We start from the raw sequence: 26534 nt of genomic DNA, 5'->3' as shown, positions 1-26534 counted from the left end.
GAGGAAAGTGAAGTCAGGGATGGCTAGGCTATAAAGCTGATCAACATAAAATGTCAGAATCCTACGACTGGGCAAAATCCAAACAAGTCATCTTGTCCATTTTCCTGTTTTTAAAGAGCCCTTTAAAATTTCTCCAGGTATTTTAGTTGTGAGGTGTGTAGGACTTAGAAAGGGATCTTAAAAACATATATATTGGAGGTGTCATGGAGGAAGAAGTTAAGATTTGGTAACTGGCTGAAGTATAGAGACTGGAAGTGTTTGCCATTGGATAAGGAAGGAGTGAGAGCAGAAATGCCATGTGAAAACCCTGTGTCCATGTGAAAACATCGTGGGGAGTCTCTACTACTCATGCTGTCCTTCATTGTGCAATTCTACCTTTCATCATTAGGACCAGACTTATGAAGTGGCCTTCCTGAGGAGATTTTCTGACCTTATGGTATGAAGTTCCTTCAGGCTCTTAATTCTGGATAAACTGGAGTGATTAACAAGAGCAAAGAGACATAGTATTCAGATAAGGACTTTGTGTCTTATTTTTCTTTTATATCACAACTGGAGCCACAGTTGTGGGCAAGGCACTGACTTTCTTGATGAATTCTGTCCATCTGTAAAGCAGCTATATATCCCACTGGAGGCTTTGCCTCTCAGAGACAACGTGAAGACGGATAAGCAGGCATCAGGAGCAGAGTGGCCTCTCAGGTACAGAGCTAATCTTTATTTCAGTCAATGAAGCGCTTACTAATAGAAATACCTAGTCCTACTTGAAGAGCTATAAAAGGGGGTAGCAAACTATAAGAGATGGTCTCTGCCTTCAGGATTTAACTGGAGAGCTAAAACCAGTATGCAGACAAAAAAATATATCCTAATTAAATTCTGAACTGTGGGCCAGGCATGGTGGCTCACACCTGTAATCCCAGCATTTTGGGAGGCAGAGGTGGGAGGATCATTTGAGGTCAGGTGTTTGAGACCAGCCTGGCCAATATAGTGAGACTCTGTCTCTGCCGGAAATACAAAAATTGGCTGGGCATGTGATTCCAGCTACTCGGGAGGCTGAGGCAGGAGAATCACTTGAACCCGGGAGGCGGAGGTTGCAGTGATCTGACAGCACGCTACTGAACTACAGCCTGGGAGACAGAGCGAGACTCTGTCTCAGAAAAAAAATTCTGAACTGTGTGGTATGACCATATTGCTACAAGAATTCAAAGGAGAGAGAGATCAGTGAAAGCTGGAGAAGTAAGAGAAATCTTGGAGAAAATGGGACTTCCAAGGACTAGAAAGATTCAGAAAAACAGGAGAAAAGTTGGACAAGTCTGCCACCATAAACAAAGGTATAAGGATAAGAATAAGCATGGCAAGTGCCAGAAGCCAGATTAAAGTATGACTATTGGTGGTCAGCAGGAAATAATATCCCAATAATTCCTCTATTCTCTGTCCTAAAAATTGATCACTGACCTTGTTATCTACGAATTTGGATTCATGGTCAGACAGCCCCAGGACAGGGGGGGCTCTTCATGGTTCTATTTTCTTTTCTTTTTCTTTTTTTTTTTTTTTGAGACGGAGTCTCTCTCTGTCTCCCAGGCTGGAGTGCAGTGGCCTGTTGGCTCACTACAACCTCTGCCTCTCGGGTTCAAGCGATTCTCCTGCCTCAGCCTCGTAAGTAGCTGGGATTATAGGTGCCCGCCACCATGCCAGGCTGATTTTTGTACTTTTACTAGACATGGGATTTTGCCACGTTGGCCAGCCTGGTCTCGAACTCCTGACCTCAGGTGATCCGCCCGTCTTGGCCTCCCAAAGTTTTGGGATTACAGGCATGAGCCACCATGGCTGGACTCTTTTCTTTTTTTTGAGATGGAGTCTTGCTTTGTTGCTCAGGCTGGAGTACAGTGGTGCAATCTCGGCTCACTGCAACCTCTGTCTCCTGGGTTCAAGTGATTCTGCTGCCTCAGTCTCCCAAGTAGCTGAGACTACAGGCACGTGCCACCATACCCAGCAATTTTTTTATTTTTTATTTTTATTTTTTTGACAGAGTCTCACTCTGTCACCCAGGCTAGAGTGCAGTGGCACGATCTCGGCTCACTGCAACCTCTGCCTCCTGGGTTCAAACAATTCTCCTGCCTCACCTCCTGAGTAGCTGGGATTACAGGCGCCTGCCACCATGCCCAGCTAATTTTTTGTATTTTTAGTACAGACAGGGTTTCACCATATTGGCCAGGCTAGTCTTGAACTCCTGATCTCAGGTGATCCACCCGCCTCGTCCTCCCGAAGTGCTGGGTTTACAGGCATGAGCCACCGTGCCCTGCCGCAAATTTTGTATTTTTATTAGAGACAGGGTTTCACTATGTTGGCCAGGCTGGTCTAGAACTCCTGACCTCGGGTGATCCACCCGCCTTGTGTTCCCAAAGTGCTGGGATTACAGGCGTGAGCCACCATACCCAGCCCATGGTTCTATTTTCTATTAAGGCACTTTGTTTCCTCCCTTGATTCAACTCAAACCTGACTTGAGAGACTTTCTTGTCCTAAGAGTGACAGGTATTGAAGGCCTTGTTGTTCAACAGAGACTCTGGCACACAAAGAGGGGAACAATAATGATAAATCTTAAACGACTGTTCTCAAACTTTAGGGTGATTAATTATTAGGGATGCTTTAAAAAAAGAAAAAGTCGGCCAGGTCCAGTGGCTCACGCCTGTAATCCCAGCACTTTGGGAGGCCAAGGCGGGTGGATCACAAGGTCAGGAGTTTAAGACCAGCCTGACCAACATGGTGAAGCCGCGTCTCTCCTAAAAATACAAAAATTAGCTGGGCATGGTGGCACGCGCCAGTAATCCCAGCTACTTGAGAGGCTGAGGCAGAAGAATCGCTTGAACCCGGGAGGTGGAGGTTGCAGTGAGCCGAGATCGTGCCACTGCACTCCAGCCTGGGTGACAGAGCGAGACCGTCTCAAAAAAAAAAAAAAAAAAAAAAAGAAAAAGAGAAAGAGAAAAGAAAAAGTCAACCAGGTGTGGTGGCATGTCCCTGTAGTCCCAGCTACTTGAGAGGCTGAGGTGGCAGGATCGCTTGAGCCCAGGAGTTGAGGCTGCAGTGAGTAGTTGTGATTAAAAAAAAAAAAAAGGGCTGGGAATCTGCATTTTTAACAAGCACCCTGGTGGTTTTGTTTTTTTTTTTTTTTTTGAGACGGAGTCTCGCTCTGTCGCCAGGCTGGAGTGCAGTGGCGCGATCTCAGCTTACTGCAAGCTCCGCCTCCCGGGTTCGCGCCATTTTCCTGCCTCAGCCTCCGGAGTAGCGGGGACTACAGGCGCCCGCCACCACATCTGGCTAATTTTTTGCGTTTTTAGTAGAGACGGGGTTTCACCACATTAGCCAGGATGGTCTCGATATCCTGACCTCGTGATCCACCCGCCTCGCCTCGGCCTCCCAAAGTGCTGGGATTACAGGCGTGAGCCACCGCGCCTGGCGCACCCTAGTGTTTGTTTCATCAGGTGGTTAGTGGGACATGCTTTGAGAAACGATGCCCTAATCTAAATATTTGACCGAAAAATGCCAAATGAAGCTGTCTGGACAGTGGCGCATATAATGTTTATATATATCTGGGTTTATCAATTTTTGAGAATTTATCTTTTCTCATCTATGGCTATTACAAATTCATATGGCTATCATCTAAAGAGTGTGACACAGACACTCTGTTTTAATGTGCTAGTTTTGTCTTCTTAAATAGACTATAATCACCTTGAAGACAGGGACCTCTCATACTTTTCTGACTTTACCCACAGGAAGATAAGAAAGCAACTTTAAGGTTGGAAGGTAGCTGGGATGCTCAGGATGAGTCCCTAATACCTTTACATCACCTTGAAAACCCTGGAAGTCATATATTTGGGATTTTGTATTCGTTTTCTAGGGCTGTTATAGCAAAGTACCACAAACTGGTGGCTTAAACAACAGAAATGCATTTCCTCAGTTCTGAAGGCTAGAAGTCCAAGATTAAGGTGTCAGCAGTTAGTTTTTTTCTGATATTTTCTCCTTGGTTTGTACATGGCCATGCATGCCCTATGTCTTCATATGTGTGTCTGTGTCCTCGTCGCCTCGTCTTATAAGGACGACAGTCATACTGGATTAGGGCCCACCCTTATGACCTCATTTTAATTTAATTACCTCTATAAAGACTTTGTCTCCAAATATACTCACATTCTGAGGTATTAGGGGTTAGGACTTCAACAAATGAATTTTGGGATACAATTCAGCCCATAACAGACCTCTAGTATCAGCTTCTAGAAATGTACCACTCATCCTTCTCTTCCATTTGTTAGTCTCATATAGTAAGTTCTCTCCACCCTTTGGTTCTCCTCCTCCGCCTCTTACAGACGTAATAGCTTGTGTAGCAATAACTCATGGAGCAGCTCTAAAGAACCTACAGTAGGGATGGGCAGGTTGTGGCATGCACCAAACACCGTAACACTCAGGGGTTGCTGAAATTCCAGTTGTACTGTCTTAAAGACACAGCTCTTTGCTCATTCTCTGCCCAGCTGTCTTAGCATTTGGTGATAACAATTAGATTATTAGATCCTCTGTAAGTGACCTTGGTATCGTAACTCATCCTTCCTTAATTACTTTTTTTTTCACTGTAGCTTCTATTAGGACTTTCTTTGGCCAGTTCTTTAGAAAGCTCAATTATTTAAAATAATCAGTGAAGTCAAAAGCAGGACATGCAGGGGCTGGCTGAAATTTCACATAAGGACAGTTTTTGAGGGTAAATCCCTGGTTTTGCAGAGCTTGTAAAGCTGGTAAACAGCAACACCATTAAGAATCCTGGGGAGACTTGGCGTGGTGGCTCACATTTGCGGCCAGCACTTTGGGAGGCTAAGGTGGGCGGATCACGAGGTCAAGAGATCGAGACCATCCTGGCCAACATGGTGAAACCCCGTCTCTACTAAAAATACAAAAATTAGCTGGACTTGGTGGTTTGTGCCTGGAGTCCCAGCTATTCGGGAGGCTGAGGCAGGAGAATGGCTTGAACCTGGGAGGTGGAGGTTGCAGTGAGCTGAGATTGCACCACGGCACTCCAGCCTGGGCGACAGAGCGAGACTCCATCTCAAAAAAAAAAAAAAAAGAATCCTGGGGAAAGAATTCCTATTACTTAAGAGGATCTAGGAAAGGTAAAAGAAAAGTAAGAGGCAACCGCATGGTTTTTAGTTCTTTTGAAGTCACTCCCTTCATGTCAGCTTCAGAGACTGCTGTTATGGAAAGGCAAGGCTTCCCTCTTCCCAGGCCATTTTTTTCGGTGAGTCAAATCAAACATCTTACTAAACCAGGAAGTCTTGCCCAATTATCTTTTTCCTCCCACTACATTTGTCCAACTGATTGATATATTAGTGATATAATTATTGTGAAATATGAATCCCTGTTCTGTAAAGTCCACATCTTTCCTAAGTTCTCTGCTTCCAATCCCTGTTATTTAATTAACTTATTTATTTAGAGATGGGGTCTTTTTACGTTGCCAGTGCTGGGGTGCAGTGGCTATTCACAGGCGCAGGCACAGTACACTACATATAGACTTGAACTCCTCGCCTCAAGCCATCCACCCACCTCAGCCTTCTGAGTAGGTGGGACTACAGTCCAGGTACGTGCCACTGTGCTTGACCCTATTATTTTAAAAATGGGTTGATAAATTCTTAGGGAAGCCCCACTTAGTGGGATTATGAGGGCTCCTAGATAAATATTGTTCCTTGTTGACCAATCTTTCCCTCTTTCTGCCTCAGCTTCCGCCAAGAACTTCTTACCTGGGCATGTATTTCTATCCTATTCACTTTTTACTCTCTGGCGTGGAACTTCTTCCTACCAAACTGTCATCCTCTGCACCTCTCCTGGCCTTCCTCACAAGTTTGTAAGCATTAAGAAGGTGCGCTGCATGCTTCATTAAATTCCTCCTTGGAAGGGCTGAGTTCACCCTGTTCTTCTCAAGTGCAATTTTCTCCAAGTTTCTTCCCTACGCAATGTTTGTATTGTGTTGGGACCCCTTCCAGTTATTATTAATTTTCAACACACAGCTACCATGAAAGTCTTGCTATGAAGTAACTGGCAAAACTAGAGACACCGACTGGCTTCCTCTCAAAGGCTCGGCGTGCCCACAGTGGAGGACGGGAAGCATTCTCCAATCCGAAAAGTCTGGAACGCTGTGGCAACTATTTTGCTCAGGGCAGGCAGAAGACGGTGGTTCTTTGGTACATTCCCCTTCTTACTGAGCTTCGTTTACTGAGGCTTCTCCTCAACACGCCAGGATCCAGCATGTATAACACCTTTGGAGTGGGCTGTCTCGGGGCTGAGGAGCGAAACGGGGGGCTGGTTATGGAGTTCCAGCATGGGGTTACTTAGCTCGCCCAGACTTGGAAACCAGCCAGCGTGATGAGGACAGGTAGTGGACGCGATTGCCCACCCCTTGTTAATGTGTTAGGATTAAACAGACAAACGGGCCCGCACACCGCCTGCCCCATTCTAGCCCGCCTTAATTCTGGGTTCCCTTTCCCCGCCTCTACAGGCCGGCTAGTCCTGGCCCCTCACTTGGGACGCCTCTGTCCCTGATGCGAGGCGCATGCGGGACCGCTTCCCCCACTCCCCTCTCCGCCAGGAGGAGGAGCCGAGGGGTTGGCCCCGTACCCGGCTGTGGCAGAAGGGGCCGCGAAGGCCGGGCCAGGGGCGCCACGACTGCCCAGGGCCCGCCCGCGGCCCGCCCGCGGCCCGCCCGCCCTCTAGCCGCTGGGCCCCGAATGGCAGATCCGCGCTCGGACCATCGGCATCGCCTCACATCGCTCCGCCCCGCGCCGCCCTCCCATTGGCTGCCGCTGAGCCCTCGGGCCCGCGCCTCGCCCCCCGGCGGCCCTGGCAGCGCCGCAGCCCGGAGCGGGGTCGGAGGTGAACGGCCTGGAGTAACCCCGGACGTAGTCACCTCATGGAGCTCGCCGGCTGAGGTGGGAGACAGGGGCGGGGCGGGGGCGGGTCAGGCCCCTGAAGCCCCGCCCCTTCTCCGTGTGCCGGGCCGGCCTGGTGCTGCACGCCTGTCAGCCATCGCCCGAGCCGCCGGCGTCTCCTCCCGCCCAGCAGTTCCTCCACGCAGGGGCTCCGGAATCGCCCGACCGCACACGTTGCCACCCTGAGGTGAGGTGAGGGCCGGCCCAGAACCTGTGACCGGGGACCTGGAGAAACTGGGGCCAAGGGAGGGGCGGCGGCAGGCAGGGGGCCGCCTCCCAGCCTCCGCTCACCCGCACGCGGCCTGGGCTCCACACTATCCAGATCGGGTGCGGGGCAGCCCAGCCCTTCCCGCAGCTCTGAGGCCTTGAGGTCCCCTCCCTAGAGACATGGAGAGGTCTGGGGTCTCGGGAGGTGGGGATTCAGATCCCGGAACTGGGAGGCGTACAGTTCAGGGCTCCTCTAGGAAGGGGGGCTGGAGTTTCTGCCTGGAGCTCGCCCGCCACCCCTCTTGCCCAGCTCCAGCGTGGTCTGATTCCTTCCAGACCCCTCTCCAATCCGATTCTGGGCTCGGGAGAGGGAGAAGACCACGTGGGAAGGGGGCGTTGCGGGTTGGGTCTGATTGCATTGAAAGTCCTTTCTCTCTTGCAGAGTGAGGTGTGGGGTGCAGACCTCACTTGCTCTCTCCGTGCCTTTGTATCGTGGCGAGAGCCAGGGCCAGGCAGGTTGTATCTGCCAGTTCCTGTTCCCAGGATTTTATTATGTTCTCTGCGAGGGACATAGTAAATGTACATGCCTTTTGTTACTCTCCTCGTTTGCCATGCTGATCAAGGGAAGTTACTGGAAATAGGACGTAGGAAGCTGATGTGAAGCTAATGATTTCACAGGAAAATGTGCGTGAAGGTCCTGCCCGGATCGGGGCCAACATTATTTTGGATTTGAGAGTGGGAGAGTGGACACTAATGGACACTTGAAATCACCTCTAAAAATCAGGGACTTCGTGTAGGCCTTGTGGGTTCTATAGAGACATTTAAGAATATAACTGCTCAGGAGAAATAGTTTAATTTCAGATATTTTTGTTTGGAGGTTTAAGACTGGAATAAAAAAAAAGACCCTAGGCCTTCCTGATTCTGTTTCTACTTAAGCGATGTTTCAGTAATTTCCTAATGTGTGGATAAACCTAATAACCACATCTTCAGTCTCAGAAGTTTATTTCCTTGGATTTTCTCTCTCTTTCCATTCATTTTTTCCCTCCCAATTCGGTAGTATAGATTGAGAAGCATGCTTTCTTTGGTTACATGGTCTTTTCTCACTCAGCAGGGAAGAATACTCATATTTGTCCCTTCTTGAGGGGGATGCCCTGGATGTCTGTGATGAGAAGGATTTCTGTGGTGCTTATTTGACAGGCACTTTTCAGAAAAGCATTGTGGCCTAATAGAGCAGGACCACAGTTTACCTGTCCAGATAGATGCCTGCTTGCTACAAATAGCAAGTTTTTTCCCACTTCTCTTGCCTCAGTTTCTTCATTTCTCAGTAAAACTGAATGCATAACAGGAGGACTGATGTGAACCCAAGAATATTAAACATTTTAAAGTGGGCATATGAAAGATGCCAAAGGTAAAGTATTAATTTATGAAGCCATCTGTGTTTACTAGTGTTGTAGAATTTTGTTGTTGTTGTTTTGTTTGTTTGTTTGAGATGGAGTCTTGCTCTGTCACCCAGACTGGAGTGCAATGGTGCGATCTTGGCTCACTGCAACCTTCGTCTCCTGGTTTCAAGAGATTCTCATGCCTCAGCCTCCCGAGTAGCTGGGATTACACGCGTGCGCCACTACGCCTGGCTAATTTTTGTATTTTCGGTAGAGACAGGGTTTCACCATGTTGGCCAGGCTGGTCTCCAACTCCTGACCTCAGGTGATCCACCCTCCTCGGCCTCCCAAAGTGCTGGGATTATAGGCATGAGCCACCACGCCAGGCTTGTTTTGTTTTGATTTACCAGTGCATAATAGAAATACATCAAGCATAAGATTAAATTGCTTTTTAAAAAGGAAGTCTTGGGAAATGGTGGCATTTATCTTAGTGAATTTATAGTTCAAAAACTAGGTAATGCTGAAGACCTGGTATTGTGAAAGCCAGCCTCAGAGAACGCTCTCTCATCTGATGTTGACCTCTCTAAAGTGCTGTGAACAGGTTCAGGTGTAGATCACTATGTAACATTATTTCCTTTGCAGTCAATGACTAGGAAAATTTTTATACCTGTCACGTGGACTGGTTTAACAGGTTTAGGGCTAGTGTTTTTCTTTCTTTAAAATCTTTTTTTCCTTTAATTGGATGGCTAATATCCTAATAGTCTTAGTTGAGGAAAGAAGTAAATTAAAATACAAACTGTGGAATAATGCATTAGAAATTAGTATTTTCAATTGTGGGAGGAGAAGAGAATCCTTTTGTAATTCAGAAAAAAAAGTTATCTCATTATCTAACATGTTCTTAAAGATTAACAATTATAGAAGCTGCCGGGCGCGGTGGCTCACTCCTGTAATCCTAGCACTTTGAGAGGTCGAGGCTGGCGAATCACAAGGTCTGGAGATCGACACCATCCTGGCTAACACAGTGAAACCCCGTCTCTACTAAAAATACAAAAAATTAGCTGGGTGTGGTGGTAGGCACCTGCAGTCCCAGCTACTCGGAAGGCTGAGGCAGGAGAATGGCATGAACCTGGGAGGCAGAGCTTGCAGTGAGCTGAGATTGCGCCACTGTACTCCAGCCTGGGTGACAGAGTGAGACTCCGTCTCAAAAAAATAATAATAATAATAATTATAGGAGCTATGTGTCAAGTATCTTTCCAAACCCGTAAAACAGTAAGATTACAAAAAAGCGAATAAACAGTAGAAACTCATTGGCTAAAAAATTCCTATTAACTATTGAGATAATTACCATTAATCTTCTACTTTAACAGATTATTAACAGATTATTAACTGGTTTTTTGCTTGTTTCAATTTAATTTTATTTTATTATTTTTTGGAGTCGGAGTCTCGCTCTTTTGCCCAGGCTGGAGTGCAGTGGCACGATCTCGGCTCACTGCAACCTCCACCTCTCAGGTTCTAGCAATCCTGCCTCACCCCCCTGAGTAGCTGAGACTACAAGGTGTGCGCCACCATGCCCGGCTAATTTTTTGTATTTTTAGTAGAGATGGGGTTTCGTCATGTCGGCCAGGCTGGTCATAAACTCCTGACCTCAGGTGGTCCGCCCTCCTCATCTTCCCAAAGTGTTGGGATTACAGGCGTGAGCCACCGCATCTGGCCTCCATTTTATTTATTTATTTATTTATTTGAGACAGAGTTTCACTCTTGTTGCCCAGGCTGGAGTGCAATGATACAATCTCGGTTCACCGCAACCTCCGCCTCCCGGGTTCAAGCGATTCTCCTGCCTCAGCCCCTCGAGTAGCTGGGATTACAGGCATGTGCCACCACGCCTGGCTAATTTTTTTGTATTTTTAGTAGAGATGGGGTTTCTCCATGTTGGTCAGGCTGGTCTCGAACTCCCGACCTCGGATAATCTGCCCACCTCAGCCTCCCAAATTGCTGGGATTATGGGCGTGAGCCACCGTGCTTGGCTATTTTATTTTATTTTTTTGAGACAGAGTCTCACTCTGTCACCCAGGCTGGAGTGCAATGGTGTGATCTTGGCTCCCTGTGACCTCCACCTCCCATGTGCAAGCGATTCTCCTGCCTCAGCCTCCCGTGTAGCTCGGATTACAGGCGCCTGCCACCACACCTGGCTGATTTTTGTATTTTTAGTAGAGACGGGGATTCACTGTGTTGGCCAGCCTGGTCTTGAACTCCTGACCTTGTGATCCACCCACTTCGGCCTCCCAAAGTGCTGGGATTACAGGTGTGAGCCACTGCGCCTGGCCACTTTATTTTTTATGTATTTATTTATTTTTTTGGAGATGGAGTCTCACTTTGTCACCCAGGCTGGAGTGCAGTGGTGTGATCTCGGCTCACTGCAACCACCGCCACCCGGGTTCAAGCAATTCTCCTGCCTCAGCCTCCCAAGTAGGTGGGATTACAGGCGCATGCCACCATGCCTGGCTAATTTTTGTATATTAATAGAGATGGGGTTTCACCATATTGGCCAGGTTGTTCTCTAACTGACGTCAGGTAATCTGCCTGCCTTGGCCTCCCAAAGTGCTGGGATTACAGGCATGAGCCACTGTGCCTGGCCTTTATTTTTAAGTGTTTTTGATTTATTATTTTTTTAGAGATTCTCTCGCTGTGTCACCCAGGCCGGATGGAGTGCAGTGACGTGATCATTGCTCATTGCAGCCTCAACCTGGGCTCAAGCAGTCCTCCACCTTACCTTCTGGAGTAGCTGGGACTGCAGGTGTACACCACTGCGCCCAGCTAATTTTAAATTTTTTTTGTGGGGTGGAGTGGGGGTCTCGCTTTACTGCCTAGACTGGTCTCGAACCCCTGGCTTCAAGTGATCCTCCGACTTCAGCCTCCCAAAGTGTTGGGATTATAGGTGTGAGCCATTGCACTCAGCCTGTTTCTTTAATTTTAAAAAACTGTAATGAGTACTGTATTCGCTTGAATCTAATGGACTATTTGAAGGTGATATTAAACAGGTAAGAAACTATGACAAATAGTGTCATAAGGATGTTGCACTTACACTGTATAAATCTGATTGATATGGCATTAATTCTTATGAGTTTAGCTGGCCAATCTCATTTAAGTGTTCTCTAATGATGCAGTTCTCTTACTAATTTGTTACTTTTTCAAGTTACCATTGGGCTGTCTAGTCTTAGGATGTTTAAGGAGGCAAGTGAAAAGTGGCTTCAGCAAGGGCTATTCAGTGCCCTGCCTAAAGGTTGGTGGCCCCAGTTGGTCTTGCCTTTCGATGATGTTGAGACTTAGACTCATTCCATCCTTTTAGCATGCCATACTCATGCTGTTTTATATAAGGAACCACAATAATGTTTACCATTCCATGACATCAGGACTGGAAATTGCATGGCAGTACTATTTATGGAGTGGTTATTTCAGATAGAATAAAATTGTATAAATTATTTTCTTTATTTTGAGACAGGGTCTCTCTCTGTCATCCCGGCTGGAGTGCAGTGGTGCAAACATGGCTCACTACAACCTTGACCTCCTGGAGTCAAGCGATCCTCCCACTTCAGCCTCCTGAGTAGCTGGGATCGCAGGCACATGTCACCATGCCTAGCTAATTTTTTAATTTTCTGTAGAGATGAGGTCTCAGTGTAATGCTCAGGCTGGTTTCGAACTCCTAGGCTCAAGCAATCCTCCTGCCTTGGCCTCCCAGAGTTTTGGGATTACAAGTATGAGCCACCATGCCCAGCAAAGTTGGAAAATTCCGAATGAACTCATGAAGTTTAAAAAAACAGACTCAGTTTTGGGGAGTCTTTCTCAAGAAATATAAGGCCTCATTTATGAATATTTGGTTATCCCCTTTGATAGAAATAGAGTATAATACTCTTAATGAAGTTCCTGTAAAATTATCTTTTTTTTTTTTTTTTTTTTTTTTTTTTAGACGGAGTCTTGCTCTGTCGCCTAGGCTGGAGTACAGTGACGTGATCTCAGCTCACTGCAACCTCCTTCTCCTGGGTTCAAGTGATTCTCCTGCCTCAGCCTCCTGATTAGCTGGGATTATAGGCGCACACCACCATGCTCGGCTAATTTTTGTATTTTTAGTAGACAGGGCTTCACCGTGTTGGTCAGGCTGGTCTTGAACTCCTGACCTCAAGTGATCCGCCAGCCTTGGCCTCCCAAAGTGCTAGGATTACAGTTGTGAGCCACCGTGCCCAGCCTATCTTCTTTTTTTATAAGCATTTTTCAAATCTGTTCTTAGTTGTGTATATATTTTACACACATGCCAAGATTTGGAATAGTAGGTTGATAGGAGCTTGATTAGTTTTTAAGTTTATTAGGAGTAATATCAGTAGATTAGCAGCAAGAAAATGAATTGCTGGGTCCTGTTTTATGCTTTAGCATTTAGTGGTATTCCTGGCCCTGGCAAGGCAAGCTGTTTAATTTTACTTTGATTCTATCTCAAAATTCAATAACTTAATAGAACATTTAGTACTGGAAAGTACCTAAGGGATTTTCTTTTCCAGTTTTCCACTTAATATGAGAGAATATTTTATCTGATGTACGTTTGAAAGTTTCCAACGATAGGCACATCTGGCTTAAGGCATCACGGGGCAACTGATTTTTGGGAGTTCTTCATAATTTTCAACTTAAAACTGCCTCCCTAAAACTGCATAGGATGTTGTAGCTACAAAGGAATTAGGAATTTTTGCTTTAACCTGTAAATGTCTCCAGCATAGATCTCTGTTAGGTAATATAAAGTATAATGCCTTAACACATCCGTAGGACTTGAAGGCAAAAAAAATAAGCAGTATTTCCTTAAGGAAGAAATTTCTTTTCTTTTTTTTTTTTGATAAGGTCTCACTCTGTCACCCTCACTGGAGTGTGCTGGCACAGTCATGGCTCACTGTAGCCTCACTGCAGCCTCAACCTGTCAGGCTCAAGTGATCCACTCACCTCAGCCTCCCAAGTAGCGGGGACTACAGACACACACCACCATACCTGGCTATTTTTTTTTTTCTTAATTTTGGTAGAGATGGGGTTGCGTCATGTTGCCCAGGCTGGTCTCAAACTCCTGGGCTCAAGCGATCTTCCTGCCTCGGGCTCCCAAAGTGTTGAGATTATACAGCCATGAGCCAGTTCTTTTCCTTGAGACTCTGGTTTTCTCTAAATGCAGCTCTATGAAATAAGATTACGAGCGTAAATTAATTCATCCTAGAACTTTCTGAATTCACAAAATGGCATTTTACCTGGAGGCCTTTAAATGTTTCTAGAGGATAATGTTTGAAATAACGACTTAGTTTATGTCTCCTAGTTTTGTAACTCAAATATTCGTTGCAATTCTGATAAAACATGAAGCCTGGCCAGGAACGGTGGCTCACCCCTGTAATCCCAGCACTTTGGGAGGCTGAGGTGGGCAGATCACAAGGTCAGGAGATCGAGACCATCCTGGGTAACATGGTGAAGCCTTGTCTCTACTAAAAAGACGAATGTGGTGGCAGGCGCCTGTAGTCCCAGCTACTCGGGAGGCTGAGGCAGGAGAATGGCATGAACCCGGGAGGCGGAGCTTGCAGTGAGCCGAGATTGCGCCGCTGCACTCCAGCCTGGGTGACAGAGCAAGACTCTGTCTCAAAAAAAAAAAAAAAAAAAAATGCAGCCTGTGAAAGCCTGGTGTTTACACAGCATTGTGAGGCATTGAGGGTGGTGGATCTAAAACAATTAGAAGAGGCTGGGCACGGTGGCTCACATCTGTAATCCTAGCACTTTGGGAGGCCAAGATGGGAGGATTGCTTGAGGCCAGCAGTACAAGACCAGCCTCGTTAACATAGCAAGACCTCCATTTCTCTCCTTTTTGTTGTTTTTGGAAGAGAGGATAACTTTTCCCAGCCTCATCTAGGAGATAACCCAGAGTCAATTACATAGTAACACATATTAAAGAAATAAGTGAATAACATTTCAGTTGTCTGGCTAAATCCTCTGACAGATATGAGATAAGGGATCAGAGTAGCATGGAATTAATTGAGGAAAGCTTTTTATTAAACTTACTTAAAATCTTCAGTTGGCAATACATTCATGTGGTTCAACATTTTATTTTATTTGTTTATTTATTTTTTGAGACAGAGTCTCACTCTTTGTCACCCCAGGCTAGAGTGCAGTGGCAGGATCTTGACTCACTGCAACCTCTGCCTCCTGGGTTCAAGCAATTCTCGTGCCTCAGCCTCCCATGTAGCTGGAATTACAGGCGTGTGCCACCATGCCCAGCTAATTTTTTGTATTTTTAGTAGAGATGGGGTTTTACCATATTGGCCAGGCTGGTCTTGAACCCCTGACATCAGGTGATCCTCCGGTCTTGGCCTCCCAAAGTGCTGGGATTACAGGCGTGAGCCACCGCACCCAGCCTGTTTCAACATTTTATTTTATATTTTATTTTATTTTATTTTTGAGACAATCTTGCTTTGTTGCCCAGGCTGGAGTGCAGCGGTGCGATCTCAGCGCACTGCAATCTCCACCTCCCAGGTTCAAGCAATTCTCCTGCCTCAGGTTCCCGAGTAGCTGGGATTATGGGCATGCGCCACGCTCCACCACGCCCCTCTAATTTTTGTATTTTTAATAGAGACAGGGTTTTACCATGTTGGCCACGCTGGTCCGGAACTCCCGACCTCAGGTGATCTGCCCACCTCGGCCTCCCAGAGTGTTGGGATTACAGGCGTGGGCCACTGCACCTGGCCTGGTTCAACATTTTAAAAGCACAAAAGGGGGCCATGTACGTTGGAGTACAATGGCCTGATCTTGGCTCACCACAACCTCCGCCTCCCAGGTTCAAGCGATTCTCCTGCCTCAGCCTCCCGAGTAGCTGGGATTACAGGCATGCGCCACCATGCCCGGATAATTTTGTATTTTTAGTAGAGACAGGGTTTCTCCATGTTGGTCAGGCTGTTCTCAAACTCCCAATCTCAGGTGATCTACCTGCCTCGGCCTCCCAAAGTGCTAGGATTACAGGTGCGAACCACCACGCCCAGCCCGAAACACATTTTTTTGTTTGTTCATTGTTTTGTTTTCGAGACAGGGTCTCGCTCTTTTGCCCATGCTGGAATGCAGTGATACAGTCACGGCTCACTGCAGCCTCAACCTCCTGGGCTTAGGTGATCTTCCCACCTAAGGGTCCCAAGTAGCTGGGACTACAGGCATGTGCCACCACACCCAGCTAATTTTTTCTGGGTTTTTTTTTTTGGTTTTTTTTTTCTTTTTTTGAGACGGGTTCACTATGTTGCCCAGGCTGGAGTACAGTGGTGCAATTATGGCTCACTGCAGCCTCGACCTCCTGGAATCAAGCAGTCCGCCCATATCAGCCTTCTGTGTAGCTGGGACCATAGGCACGTGCCATTATGCCTAGCAAATTTTTAATTTTTTTATTTTTTATAGAGACGGAGTCTCACTTTGTTGCCCAGCCTGGTCTTGAACTCCTGAGCAGTCGTAATGCCTCAGCCTCCGAAAGTGTTGGGATTACAGGTGTGAGCCACTGTGCCTAGCCTGTTGTATACTTCTATTGCATCACATCCAGTGATGCACACACAGAGTAAACCACACACACATCATACAAGGATGTCAGTTTTTCCTAATATTGGTGATATTTAGTTTGAATACTTAGTTAAGATGGTATCCATCAGATTTCTCCATTGTAAAGATACTTTTCCCTTTTGTAATTAATATGTAAGAATATGGCCAGGTGCAGTGGCTCATGCCTGTAATCCCAGCACTTTGGGAGGCTGAGGCAGGCGGATCACTTGAGGTCAGAAGTTCGAGACCAGCCTGGCCAACGTGGTGCAATCCTGTCTCTATTGAAAATACAAAAAAACTAGCTGGGTGAAGTGGTGGGTACCTGTAATCCCAGCTACTTGGGATGCTGAGGCAGAAGAATTGTTTGAACCTGGGAGGCGGAGGTTGCAGTGAGCTGAGATCTGGCCATTGCACTCCAGCCTGGGCAACAGAGCGAGACTCTGTCTCAAAAAAAAAAAAAGCTATATATATATACACACACACACGCGCGCACACACACACACATATGTAAGATATATATATGTAAGATATATCTTATATACGTATATATGTAAAATATATATGTAAGATATATCTTATCTATATGTAAGATATATGTATATATAATATATATTATATATATGTTTTATATATATATATATATGTAAGAATATGTTGTTTTCACTGAGCATGGTGGCTCATGCCTGTAATCCCAGTGCTCTGGGAGGCTGAGGCAGATGGATTGCTTGAGGACAGGAGTTTGAGACCAGCCTGGCCAATGTGGCAAAACCTCATCTCTACTAAAAATATAAAAATTAGCCATGTGTTGGGGCACACGCCTGTAATCCCAGTTACTTGGGAGGCTGAGGCACGATAATTGCTTGAGTCTGGGAGGTGGAGGTTGCAGTGAGCGGCGATCACGCCACTGCACTCACATCTGGGCAACAGAGCGAGACTCCATCTCAAAAAATAATAATAATAATAAATAATAAAGAATATGTTGTTTTCTGAAAACCCTTTATCCAATAGTTTTAACATATATTTACGATATTTGCCAACATCAGTTATTGCATTGGTGTTTTTTTTTTTTTTTTGAGACGGAGTCTCACTCTGTCGCCCAGGCTGGAGTGCAGTGGCGCGATCTCGGCTCACTGTAAGCTCTGCCTCCTGGGTTCACGCCATTCTCCTGCCTCAGCCTCCTGAGTATCTGGGCCTACAGGCGCCCACCACCACCCCCGGCTAATTTTTTGTATTTTTAGTAGAGACGGGGTTTCACCGTGGTCTCAATCTCCTGATCTCGTGATCCGCCCGTCTCTGCCTCCCAAAGTGCTGGAATTACCGCGCCCGTATAGCATTGGTGTTTGTAAAATGAATTATGTTTTCTAATTGCATCATTATCGGAGGTAATTATTTTGAGATTTTGCTGTCTGAAAATATGTCCTGTCCTCACAATTGATCAGCAACCTATTGTGTCTAAAATTCTAGATTGAAAATAATTTTCCTTCAGAATTTTGAAGGCATTGTTTAATAACCTTCAAGCTTCTGTTGTTATTTCTGATAAGTCTGAAAGGCATTCAAATTCTTGATCATTTGTATGTGAACTTTTTTCTCTCAGGAAGCTTGTAGGATCTTTTCTTGTGTTCAGTTTCTGAAATTTCAGTGATGTGCCTTGGTGTCTCTTTTTATTCATTATGGTAGGCACTTGTTGGGCCTTTTTAATCTGGCAATGACCATGGCAATCTGGCATGATTATCAGATTAAAATTTTTGCCCTTTGTTTTGTTCTTGCTTTTGGGAGCTTCTGTTACTTAGATATGGACCTTCTGAACAGGTTCTCTCATCTTCTTTTTCTCTCCTGTTGTTCATCACTTTAAATTTTTTTTTTTTTTTTGAGAGACAGAGTCTCACTCAGTCACCCAGGTTGGGTACTGCAACCTCTGCCTCCCGGGTTCAAGCAGTTCTGCTGCCTCAGCCTCCCAAGTAGCTGGGATTACAGGCGTGTAGCACCACACCTGGCTAATTTTTGCATTTTTAGTATAGTTGGGGTTTCACCCTGTTGGCCAAGGCTGGTCTTGAACTCCTGACCTCAGGTGATCCTCCCACCTTGCCCTCCCAAAGTGCTAGGATTACAGGCATGAGCCACCGCACCTGGCCCTCTTTGACTTTTTATTCTGATTTGTGAAAGCTTTTCTTTAACCTTATCTTCTGAGTTGTTTCATTGCTGTGATCATATTTTTAGCTTTTAAAAATTCTTTCTTGTTAAAAAATTTTTTTTCTTTCTTTCTTTTTTTTTTTTTTACGTAAGTAGGGATGGCGTTATGCTTTGTTGCTCAGGCTGGTCTGGAACTCCTGGACTCAAGCGACCCTCCTGCCTCAGCCTTCCAAAGTGTTGGGATTACAGGTGCGAGCCGCCGCACCTGGCCTAAAATAGTTATTTTAAAAATATTTCAGACCAGCTGTTGTGACTCACACCTGCAGTCCTAACATTTTGGGAAGTTGAGGCTGGAGGATCGCTTGAGCAGGAGGTTGAGATCAGCCTGGGCAACATAACAAAACCCCGTCTCCACAAAAATCACAAAAAAGCTAGCTGGGTGTGGTAGTGTGTGCGTAGTCCCAGCTACTCAGGAGGCTGAGGTAGGAGGATCACTTGAGCCCTTGTATTAGTCTGTTTTCACACTGCTGATAAAGACATACTCGAGACTGGACAATTTACAAAAGAAAGAGGTTTAATGCACTTACTGTGCTATATGGCCAGGGAGACCTCACAATCATGGCGGAAGGCAAGGAGGAGCACGTCATGTTTTACATGGATGGAAGCAGGCAGAGAGAGAGCTTGTGCAGGGAAACTCCTGTTTTTAAAACCATCAGAACTCGTGAGACTTATTCACTAACACGAGAACAGCATGGGAAAGACCCACCCCCAGGATTCGATTACCTCCCACCAGGTCCCTCCCACAACACGTGGAAATTAAAGAGGAGGTTTGGGTGGGGACACAGCCAGACCATATCATTCAGCCGCTGGCCCTTCCCAGATCTCATGTTCTCACATTTCAAAACCAGTCATGCCTTCCCAACAGTCCCTCAAAGTCTTAACTCATTTCAGCATTAACTCAGAAGTCCACAGTCCAGAGTCTCATCTGAGACAAGGCAAGTCCCTTCTGCCTATGAGCCTGTAAAATCAAAAGCAAGTTATTTACTTCCTAGATACAATGGAAATACAGGCATTGGGTAAATGTAGCCATTCCAAATGGGAGAAATTGTCCAAAACAAAGGGGCTACAGGCTCCATGCAATTCCATAATCTAGCAGGGCAATCAAATCTTTTTTTTTTTTTTTTTTTTTTGAGATGGAGTCTTGCTCTGTCGCCTAGGCTGGAGTGCAGTGGTGTGATCTCGGCTCACTGCAAGCTCCACCTTTCAGGTTCACGCCATTCTCCTGCCTCAGCCTCCTGAGTAGCTGAGACTACAGGCGCCCGCCACCACGCCCGGCTAATTTTTTTGTATTTTTAGTAGAGACTGGGTTTCACCGTGTTAGCCAGGATGGTCTCGATCTCCTGACCTCGTGATTTACCTGCCTTGGCCTCCCAAAGTGCTGGGATTACAGGAGTGAGCCACCACACCTGGTCTCAATAGATATTTTTTCTTATCGTTTCCCTCCTCCCATCTGCTACCCTCAAGTAGGCAATTGTTAATATCTTACATAGCCATAATACTTTTTTTTTTTTTTTTGAGAGAGAGTCTTGCTCTGTTGGTCAGGCTGGAGTGCAGTGGCATGATCTCGGCTCACTGCAACCTCCGCCTCCTGGGTTCAAGTGATTCTCCTGCCTCAGCCTCCCAAGTAGCTGAGATTACAGGTGCATGCCTCCATGCCCGGCTAACCATAATACTTTAGTCAAAACTATGAAATTAACATTGGTACAATAGTAACTAAACTATAAAACTGTATTTCCTGGGTTTTTTTTCCTCTAGAGATAGGGTCCCTCTCTGTCGCCCAGGCCAGAGTGCAGGGGCTCCATTATAGCTCATTGTAATGTGAAACTCCTAACCTCAAGTGATCCTCCTGCCTAAGCTTCCCAAAGTGTTGAGATTACAGGCATGAGCCACCATGCTGGCCTTCTGTAGCTTTTCTTTTTTAGTGATGTGTTTTTCTATTCCAGTATTTAATGTAGGATACCACATTGTATTTAGTGGTCATGTCTCATTAATCTCCCCTGATCTGTGATAGTTTCTTAGTCTTTCCATTTTTGTAATGGCTTGATGATTTTGAATAGTACTCATCAAGTATTTTATAGAATGTCCCTCAATTCAAATTTGTCTGATATTTTCTCATGATTAAACTAGGGTTATGGGTTTTTTGGGAAAATACCGCAGAGGTGAAGTTGCTTTCCCCTCCCCTCGACCCCTGTAGTTTTTAATGGTTTCTTGTTCCCTGTAATCTCTTTTCTTCAAGTTGCATTTTTTTAATCTACAGGTAGTTATTTGTTTTTAGTCTTTCATGTTGAAGTTTTTCTCAGACATCTGGTAATCTTTATTGTCTGTTTATATTTAAGAGGAAGTGTTGAAAGCTGATTAGAGGTGGTTAGCTTACTACAGTGTAATCTGGTTGGGCAACTCAATTAGGGACGTTGATGTTAGTAACTTTAGTTATTTTTCTCTCCTTGAGCTGGTCAGATTCTCCGAAGAAGGATCCTCTAGGCTGGGCACGGTGGCTCACACCTATAATCCCAGCACTTTGGGAGGCCGAGGCAGGTGGATCACGAGGTCAGGAGTTCGAGGCCAGCCTGGCCAATATGGTGAGACCCCGTCTCTGCTAAAAATACAAAAATCAGCCGGGAATGGTGGTGCGGGCCTGTAGTCCCAGCTACTCGGGAGGCTGAGGCAGAAGAATCTCTTGAACCTGGGAGGCAGAGGTTGTGGTGAGCCGAGATCATGCCACTGGACTCCAGCCTGGGCAAGAAGGATCCTCTAATCTCTCTCCGGGAAGGTGACGATTAGGGAAAGAGGACCGGAAAATCTTACTCAATATATTGACTTAATTTATTTATTTTCAGTATTGTACCCTGCCCCTTACTGTTGCTGGTATCCCCCAATCTAGAAACCCTCTGTTTAACCCTCTCTAGAGAATAAACCTAAAGTCTCAGGATGGTAGAGCAGCAGGCACCTGACTTCACTAGTTGGGGAGAAAATGTAATGATCTGAAGCTTCGGAAACAATTTCAACCAATCCTCCTTATTTTCTTTAGCTCTCTTTCACCTCCACTTTCTGAACATTTTGGGGAACGTATGACATAAATTGTGTTGATCGTAAGTTTACCACAGTTGGGCTATGATTCAGTTTTCTTGGGCTTGCCTAGTCATTTATTGCTCTTCTGTCTGCTTTCCAAGAAAATTGTCTTGTTGTCTACCCAGACTTTTTAATTTCTTTTTTGGTCTTTTTGTGGGTTATGCCTTTTTAGTTTATTTATTTATTTATTTTTATTTATTTTTTTGAGAAGGAGTCTCGCTCTGTCACCCAGGCTGGAATGCAATGGCATGATCTCAGCTCATTGCAGCCTCTGCCTCCTGGGTTCAAGCGATTCTCCTGCCTCAGCCTCCCAGGTAGCTGGGATTATAGGTGCACACCACCACGCCCCGCTAATTTTTGTGTTTTTAGTAGAGACTGGGTTTCACCATGTTGGCCAGGCTGGTCTCGAACTCCTGACCTCAAGCAATCAGCCTGTCTCATCCTCCCAAAGTGCTGTGATTACAGGTGTGAGCTGCCATGCCCGGCCCAACCCACTGTCTTCAGACAGTTTTCGCCATGGTGTCCAGGCTGGTCTCAAACTCCTGGGCTCAAGCCATCCTCTTGCCTCAGCCTCCCAGAATGCTGGGATTACAGGTGTGAACCACCACACCTGGCCTAGAGGTTTTTTTTTCTTTTTAAAAAAATTTTTAAATTTCTTTTTTATTTTTTATCTTTTTATTTTTTTGTTTATATTTTTTGTGTTTTCAGAGATTATTATACTACTGTAATTGTATATTTAGGTGTCAATAGCCACTTAGCTAGGGACAAATCTTATTTATCTTTGAATAATCAGCATCTGTTTCACTATTTGGAACACAAGTTCTTGTTATTTTAAAATTTAAAACTTGTGGTAAATTAAAATAGTTTTTAAAATAAAATTTTCTGTAATCCTTTTATGAATCACTGAATTAATAACCAAAATCCATTAAAAAATAAATGACAAAGTGAACAAGGCAAATTCACTTATTGTCTTTGAAAACTTTTTTTTTTTTTTTTTTTGAGACAGAGTCTCACTCTGTCACCCAGGCTGGAGTACAATGGTACAATCTTGGCTCACTGCAACCTCTGCCTTCTAGGTTCAAGCAGTTCTCTGCCTCAGCCTCCCAAGTAGCTGGGATTACAGGCACCCGCCACCAGGCCTGGCTAATTTTTACATTTTTAGTAGAGATGGGGTTTCACCATCTTGACCAGGCTGGTCTTGAACTCCTGACCTCGTGATCCACCTGCCTTGGCCTCCCAAAGTGCTGGGATTACAGGCATGAGCCACTGCACCCGGCCTCTTTGAAAACATTTAAGTGAACTTACTATGACTTGAGAGGCAAGGACATGTTGTAAAAGCTTGGATACTTTTATCAGTGGCTATGAAAACTAATTGCTGCCTCTTTATTAGAATTGCATGGAAAATACAGTGTAATTTGAGTTCAAGGAGAATATGCTAACTAAATTTGGTAAAATCTGTTGTATTTATTTAGAAAAATATCTCTGGGCCGGCCACAGTGGCTCACGCCTGTAATCCCAGCACTTTGGGAGGCTGAGGCAGGTGGATCACCTGATATCAGGAGTTTGAGACCAGCCTGGCCAACATGGTGAAACGCCGTCTCTACTAAAAATACAAAAATCAGCCAGGTGTGGTGGCATGCATCTGTAATCCCAGCTACTCGGAAGGCTGAGGCAGGAGAATAGCTTGAACTCGGGAGGCAGAGGTTGCATTGAGCTGAGATCGTGCCACTGCACTCCAGCCTGGGTGACAGATTGAGACTCCGTCTCAATAAAAAGAAAAAAAAAATTTCTGAATGAAATGCAGGCTGACTTTTTTTGTTTTTGTTTTTGTTTTTGAGACAAAATCTCATTCTGTTGGCCAGGCTGGAGTACAGTGGCACTTCAGCCTCAACCTTCTGGGCTCAAGTGATCCTCCCACTTCAGCCTCCCAAGTAGCTGGGACCATGGGCATGTGCTACCACATCCAGCTTTTTTTTTTTTGGTAGAGATGGGGTTTCGTCATATTGCCCAGGCTGGCCTTGAACTCCTGGACTCAAGGGATTCTCCCGCCTCAGCCTCCCAAATGGCTGAGATTACAGGCATGAGCCACCACTCCTGGCCCAGGCTGACTCTTAAATACATTAGCTGTAATTAGCTTTACCACATTTTCAGGAACATAAGGCACAGTTTGGGAGCCTTCCGCAAAAATTTTCAAGAGTCTCCAAATAAAAGCTGAATAATACATTATATGTATAGTGTATATATAGGATATATATATGTATTTAAAATACATATATATTTAAAAATATATGTGTGTGTGTGTGTATATATATATATATATATATATTTTTTTTTTTTTTTTTTTTTTTTTTTTTTTGAGAGACAGTCTTACTTTGTCCACAGCCTGGAGCGCAGTGGTGCATTCTTGGCTCACTGCAACGTCCGCTTCCTGGGTTCAAGCTATTCTCCTTCCTCAGCCTCCCCAGTAGCTGGGATTACAGGTGTCTGCCACCATGCCTGGCTAATTTTTGTAGTTTTAGTAGAGGCGGGGTTTCACCATGTTGGCCAGCTGTTCTCGAACTCCGAACCTTAAGTGATCTGCCCGTCTTCATCTCCCAAAGTGCTGGGATTACAGGTGTGAGCCACTGCGCCTGGCCACATGATATATTTTTTAAATAAAAGAGAATTTGGCATTGTCAACAATTTTATATAATGAAGAAAATAATTTTTATTTGAGTAGGCAGACTGGATCTGGAAAAAGGCCTTGTTTCAGAACTAAGACAGCAATTATATGAGCCTTCCCCAAAGGTCAGCTTCTTTTTTAGTCCTCTTTCTGGAGAAAGAGGTCTTAACCTAATTCAGGGCAGGAGTTTAGGAATCCCAAACCTGTATGGAATGAAAATTTTGTATGAGGGTACATTTTTGTCAAGAAAAGGTCCATAGCTTTCATCAAATTTCCAACAGTTGAGACACTTTTAAGAATCGTTGGTTTATGTACTTAACTGGCTGTCTTTGCTGTCTAGTGAGGTTATAAAGTGGAGGGGGTGAGGGAGTAAGGATTAGTTGTGGCTTTAAGGCTTTTTTTTTTTTTTTTGAGACAGAGTCTTGCTCTGCTGCCCAGGCTACAGTGCAGTGGGGTGATCTTGGCTCACTGCAACCTCCACCTCTCGGGTTCAAGCGATTCTCCTGCCTCAGCCTCCTGAGTAGCTGGGATTACAGGCACACACCACCACACCTGGCTAATTTTTGTATGTTTAGTAAAGACGAGGTTTCACCATGTTGGCCCAGCTGGTTTTGACTCCTGATCTCAGGTGATCTGCCCATCTTGGCCTCCCAAAGTGCTGGGATTACAGGTGTGAGCCACCACATCTGGCCGCTTTAAGACTTTTTTTGACATACCTCATAATAAAATGTCATTTACATCATGACCTATATATAACTGAAACAAAAATTTACAAAACTATGGATACTGTCATAAACTATGGTATATCTTAACATTTTCTATCTTATTTCATTTTCAAAATATTGGTTATAACTTGCTAAATTGATTTCTTAATGTTTTGCTGGGTGGTAACCCATAATTTGAAAAACACTGGCCTATTGCATTATAGTTTACAAAATCCTTTCATATATTCTTAGTTTTCACAGCAGTCCCATGAGGTACATATGACCTTCTTTAAACTTAATTAAATTCGTTAATTTATTTATTTTTGAGATGGGGGTCTTGCTATGTTGCCCAGGCTGGAGTGCATTGGCTTTTCACAGGTGTGGTCATAGCACATTGCAGCCTCCAGCTCCTGGACTCTAGCACACCTCTGCCTCAGCCTCCCAAGTAGCTGGGACTGTAGGTGCACACTACTGCCCAGAAGACTTTCTTTTTTATTTTTACAGATGAGGAGGCTTGTCTGTATGATATACAGAGACGTTAAGTGACCTTCAAGTCTGCAGTCACTTGCAATATTTGACAGTCAGAGTTTGAGCTTGATTGGTCCTAGGTTTTAACTCCACTTTCACTGCATCTTTGGTTACATGATCCAAACTTTTTCCTTCCTCTTCTCAGTTGTAGGGAATAATACTAGCTCAGACTGCATAACTGGATAAATCCTAATATTCCTAAATGTTGTCCCTTGTCATTTAGGGGTCCTCTCGGAAGTTTTAGATTTCCCTACCAGTGTAATAGGTTCTTTCCTTTTGTTTCTTCTCTGCCCTTAACGAGTGGTTCTCAAGCGTGTATTTCCATCAGTGTCAATTAACTGTGGAACTTAAAGTTGATATCCCTGGGTCTCCAGCTGCAATTCTGATTCAGCAGATCTAGGGTGGAGTTTAGACTTTGTAAAATTTTTAAAAGCTCCGCAGGTGATTCTTAAACATAATCAGAGTTGAGAATTTCTACCCTAGATAGATTTAAATTGTCAGGCTTAAGAAGGAAACCGAGGATTTGGGGAGTTGCTAGAGACTGTTTGATCCCTTACAGTTTAGGGACTTAGTATAATGGGCACTCTGTCTTCCACCTGGCTCCCAATCTTTGTGTGTAGGTGTAACCGCTTGTAAACATAATCAGAGCTTAAGTGAATTGTAGAGAATCTAGTGGTTCTCTTCTCCCCACTGCCTCTTTTTTGATGAAATATTAGAAATGAAAATTTTGAAATGTATTCATCGAGTATACAATTGGAAAAGCCACCTTGTGAAATGGTAAGCTTGTTCTATTGTTTAATATTTTCTTAAACAATAGTCTTTATGTAATGTGTTTGATTTACAGAATTGAACAAATAATAAACTGCTAAACTTTGTGCTTTAAGTTAAATAATAGATTTGACCAGTAAAATAGATACTTCATATATTATTACCTTTGTATTATGCTGAGCAAAACAGGAATTGACAAAAGTTTGTTTCTTAAAAAAAAAAACCTTAAAATCTTTCTCTTTCTCTCTAGGTCTTTTTGGAAGTGGATATCTACTCAGACAGTAAGAATTATAAGAGGTCAGTTACAAATAATACTCCTTGTTTACAATGTGATAAAAATTTTGTTCATGTTGTAAAATATCAAACTGTAGGCTTTTGTGTTAAAAGTTGACTTCCACAAAATAATATAGGCAGATTTAGGGTGGATAACCTGAAGTGAACAAAGAGTCTAACAATGGTACTCAACTGTATTCTCTCTTTAATTCAGGACTAGAAT

At 44.6% G+C, this 26534-nt stretch overlaps 1 protein-coding gene across 21 annotated transcripts in view, besides 1 other annotated feature; it reads left to right on the top strand.

Annotated features, from left to right (window-relative positions):
* Positions 1-26534, top strand: part of ACACA (acetyl-CoA carboxylase alpha) — a 321845-nt gene that overhangs the window by 40698 nt on the left and 254613 nt on the right. For 6 of the 21 annotated variants that reach the window (XM_047435882.1, XM_047435883.1, XM_047435881.1 and 3 more), the window contains 2 exons: positions 389-696; positions 26289-26335. Coding sequence is in view for 4 of the 21 variants with exons in the window: in XM_011524701.2 (XP_011523003.1) it covers positions 26289-26335 (47 nt within the window). In the remaining 17 variants the exon portion in view is untranslated. Of the gene's footprint in view, positions 1-388; positions 697-7042; positions 7146-20756; positions 20887-26288; positions 26336-26534 lie in introns of those variants that run through there. The other 15 variants (XM_047435891.1, XM_011524704.3, XM_047435884.1 and 12 more) reach the window with 5 other exon arrangements.
* Positions 10314-10813: an enhancer, noted in NCBI's record as "H3K4me1 hESC enhancer chr17:35712269-35712768 (GRCh37/hg19 assembly coordinates)". NCBI's record gives its function as "activates a minimal SCP1, AML or CMV promoter by ChIP-STARR-seq in primed H9 embryonic stem cells {active_cell/tissue: H9 hESC(primed)}" and the evidence as "EXISTENCE:reporter gene assay evidence [ECO:0000049][PMID:30033119]".

The sequence above is a fragment of the Homo sapiens genome, chromosome 17, assembly GCF_000001405.40.
Source record: "Homo sapiens chromosome 17, GRCh38.p14 Primary Assembly".
Taxonomy (NCBI): Eukaryota; Metazoa; Chordata; class Mammalia; order Primates; family Hominidae; genus Homo; species Homo sapiens.
The sequence above is the reverse complement of the archived record's forward strand: the minus strand, read 5'-3'. Positions and strand labels throughout refer to the sequence as shown.